The sequence below is a fragment of the Homo sapiens genome, chromosome X, assembly GCF_000001405.40.
Source record: "Homo sapiens chromosome X, GRCh38.p14 Primary Assembly".
Lineage (NCBI taxonomy): Eukaryota > Metazoa > Chordata > Mammalia > Primates > Hominidae > Homo > Homo sapiens.
The window spans coordinates 75,825,186-75,829,392 of NC_000023.11; the positions used below are offsets into that span (position 1 = coordinate 75,825,186).

At 39.0% G+C, this 4,207-nt stretch overlaps 1 annotated feature.

Annotated features, from left to right (window-relative positions):
• Window positions 769-1,063: a silencer, noted in NCBI's record as "tiled region #1365; K562 Repressive non-DNase unmatched - State 24:Quies". NCBI's record gives its function as "represses a minimal TATA promoter and a strong SV40 promoter by Sharpr-MPRA in K562 cells {active_cell/tissue: K562}" and the evidence as "EXISTENCE:reporter gene assay evidence [ECO:0000049][PMID:27701403]".

The following is a 4,207-nucleotide window of genomic DNA, read 5'->3' on the forward strand; positions in this document are numbered from 1 at the left end:
GAACAGCACAGAAAAGACCTCCCCACATGATTCAATTACTTCCCACTGGTTCCCTCCCACAACACATGGCAATTCAAGGTGAGATGTGGATGGGGGCACAGCCAAACCATACCATTCTGCCTGTGGCTCTTCTCAAATCTCATGTCCTCACATTTTAAAGCCACTCATGTCTTACCAACAGTCCCCCAAAGCCTTAACTCATCTCAACATTAACTCAACAGTTTACAGTCCAATGTCTCATCTGAGAAATTGGCCAAAACAAATCGGCTACAGGATGCATGCAAGTTCAAAATCCAGCAGGACAGCCAAATCTCAAAGCTCCAAAATGATCTCCTTTGACTCCATGTCTTGCATTTAAGTCATACTGACACAACTAGTGGGTTTCTATGTTCTTGGGTAGCTCCATCCCTGTGGCTTTTCAGGGTACAGCCTCCCTTCTGGCTGCTTTCACGGGCTGTTGTTGAGTATCTGCAGCCTTTCCAAGTGCATGGTGCAAGCTGTCGATGAATCTACCATTCTGGACTCTGGAGGATGGTGGCCCTCTTCTCAAAGCTCCACTAGGCAGTGCTCCAGTGGAGACTCTGTGTGGGGGCTCCCACCCCATATTTCCATTCCACACTGCTTTAGCAGAGGTTCTCCATAAGCTACCCACTCCTGCAGCAAACTTCTGCCTGGGCATCCAGGCGTTTCCATACATTCTCTGAAACCTAGGCAGAGGTTCCCAAACCTCAATTCTTGACTTCTGTGCACCTGCAGGCTCAACATCACATGAAAGCTGACAAGGCTTGGGGCTTGCACCCTCTGAAGCCATGGCCCATGCTGTACTTTGGCCCCTTTTAGTCATTGCTGGAGCAGCTGGGAGGCAGGTCACCAAGTCCCTAGACCGCACAAAGAAGAGGGACCCTGGCCATCCCACGAAATTATGTCTTCCTCCTAGGTCTCCAGCCCTGTGATGTGAGAGCCTGCCACAAAGGTCTCTGACATGCCCTGCAAACATTTTCCCCATTGTCTTGGTGATTAACATTTGGCTCCTCTTTACTTATGCAAATTTCTGCAGCCAGCTTGAATTTCTCCTTAGAAAATAGGATTTCTTTTCTATCACACTGTCAGGCTGCAAGTTTTCTGAACTTTTATGCTCTCTTTCCCTTTTAAAACTGAATACCTTTAACAGCACCAATGTCACATCTTGAATGCTTTGCTGCTTAGAAATTTCTTCTGCCAGATACCCTAAATGATCTCTCTTAAGTTCAAAGTTCCAGAAATCTCTAGGGCAGGGCAAAATGCTGCCAGTTTCTTTGCTAAACTATAACAAGAGTAACTTTTGCTCCAGTTCCCAACAAGTTCCACATCTCCATCTGAGACCACCTCAGCCTGTATTTCATTGTCCATATCATTATCAGCATTTTGGTCAAAGCCATTCAACAAGTCTCTAGTGAGTTCAAAACTTTCCCACATTTTCCTGTCTTCTTCTGAGCCCTCCAAACTGTTGAAACCTCTGCCTCTTACCCAGTTCCAAAGTCAGTTTTATGTTTTTGGGTATCTTTTTAGCAATGCTCCACTCTACTGGTATCAATTTATTGCATTAATACGTTTTCATACTGCTAACAAAGACATACTCAGGACTGGGTAATTTATACAGAAAAAACGTTTAATCGACTCTCGGTTCCACATGGCTGAGGAGGCCTCACAATCATGGCAGAAGGCAAGGAGGAACAAGTCACATCTTACATGGATGGCAGCAGGCAAAGAGCTAAATTGCTCAGAGAAACTCAGCCTTATAAAACCGTCAGATCTCATGAGACTTATTTGCTATTATGAGAACAGCATGGGAAATACCTGCCCCCATGATTCAATTACCTCCCAGTGTGTCCCTCCCACAACACATTGTGGGAATTCAAGATGAGATTTGGGTGGGGACACAGCCAAACCTTACCAGTAGAGTACACTAATATTCAAATGTTGAACTAGCTTTACATACCTAGAAAAATCCCACTTAGCCATGGTTTATAATTCTTTTTATACATTGCTGAATTTTAATTTGCTAATATTTTGTTGACTTTTTCCATTTAAGTTTATGTGAGGTGTGGGTTTATAATTTTTATTTTATTTTACTGTCTGTCTGATTCCAGTGTCAAGGCCTCTGCTATGGTTTGTTTGGCACTGCCAAGTTTATGTTAATATTTTAACCCCTATGTTGGAGGTGGACCTTGTGGGAGGTGTTTGGATTGAGATTGGATCCCTCACGAATAACTTAGTGCCATTCTCATGGGAGTGAATAATTTCTCACTATTACTTGCTTTGAGAACAGTTGTTGGAAAGAGCCTGGCAAACCCTACCCTCACCCCCCTGTCTGTCTGTCTGTCTCTCTTTCTGTCTCTGTTGCTTCCTTTCTCACCATGTGATCTCCACATGCCAGCTCTTCATTAACTTATGCCATAAAAGCCTTCAACAGAAGCAAATGCTGTCACTATGCTTCTCCTACTGCCTGTAGATCTATGAGTCAACTAAACAGTTTTTACTTATAAATTACTCAGTCACAGATATTTCTTCATAACAACACAAAGACAACTTCAAAAAATGAGTTAGCAATTGCTCCTTTCTATTCAATTTTCCAGAAGAACTTGTGTAAAATTTGTATTAATTCATCTGTAAATGTTGGTAAAATTCTTTATTGAAGCCATCTAAGCCTGGGGTTTTCTTTTGCAGGAGTTGCTTAATTACAAATTCAATTAATTTAATAGTTATAAGACTATTCCACTTATCTGTTTATCTTGGTTGAGTTTTGGTATTTTGTGTGTTTTGAGGAATTGCTTTAGTTCTTCTAAGTTTTCCGATGTATGGGTGTAAACTTGTTGATATCTTTTTCTTATTATCTTTTTAACAGTTAGAGGACTGCTAAGACATCTTTGGCTTTATTTATGATATTGGTGTTTTGTGTGCCTTCTTTTTATGTTTGTCACTCTTGTTAGATATTTCTCAAATTTTATTGATTAGTTTTTGAGAGCTAGATTTTTTATTTTGAGACAAGGTCTCAATCTGCCACCCAGACTGGGGAGTAGTGGCACAATCATGACTCATAGCAGCCTTGACTTCCCTGGGCTCAGATGACCATCCCACGTCAGCTTCCCAAGTAGCTGGGACCACAAGCATGTGCCACCATGTCCAGCTAATTTAATTAATTAATTAATTTTTTTGTAGGGATGGGCTTTTGCCATGTTGCCCAGGCTGGTCTCCAACTTCAGAGCTCAAGAAATTCACCTGCCTTGGCCTTCCAAAGAGTTGAGATAACAGGCGTGAGCACCTGCACCCAGTGAGAACTAGCTTTTAATTTTATTTTATTTCTTTTTTTTCTGTTTTCAGGTTCATAGATTTCTGCTCATATTTTTATTAGCTACCTTCTACTTGCTTTACATTCATGTTCCTCTTCTCTTTATAATTTCTTGAGGTAAGAATTTAGATTATCGATTTGAGATATTTTATCTTTTCTCATGTAAGCTTTAGTGCTATAACTTTTCTTCTAACCACTGCTTTAACTGTGTCCCACAAATTTTGATATGTTGTATAATTATTTTAATTCATTTGTATATATTTTTAGAATTTCCTTTGAGATTTCCTCTTTGACTCGTGGATTCTTTGAAAATGTGATTTTTAACTTTGCAGGTCTTTGAAAATATTTATTTTTCTTTATTATTATCAATTTATGTTTTAATCTAATTATGATTGAAAAAAACTTTGTATTGTTTTGAGTCTCTTAAATTTGTTGATTTGTTTTATGACCCAAGTTTTAGTCTATCCTGGTGAAATTTTCATGGGCACTTGAATAGAATATGCATTCTGCTGTTATTGGCTCAGGTGTTCTATATTTTGGGGTTTTTCCATTAGATTGGTACAAAAGTAATTGCAGTTTTGCCATTATTTTGAATATATTAATACGAATATATTCCTGCTGATTTTTGTGTAGTACACGTTTCATCAATTGTTGAGAGAGAACTGTTGAAATCTTTGATTAGAATTCTCATTTTTCTGTCCTTTTTCAGTTCCATCAGTTTTTGCCTCACATATTTTGTAACTTTTTTGGTACATATTTGAAATTCCTATGTATTGCTAGTATATTCATTATTTTATTATTATGCTGTGTCCCTATATGTTCATGGTAATTTTCTCTACTATGATATCTACTTTATCTTATTGATGTTGCTACTTTGAG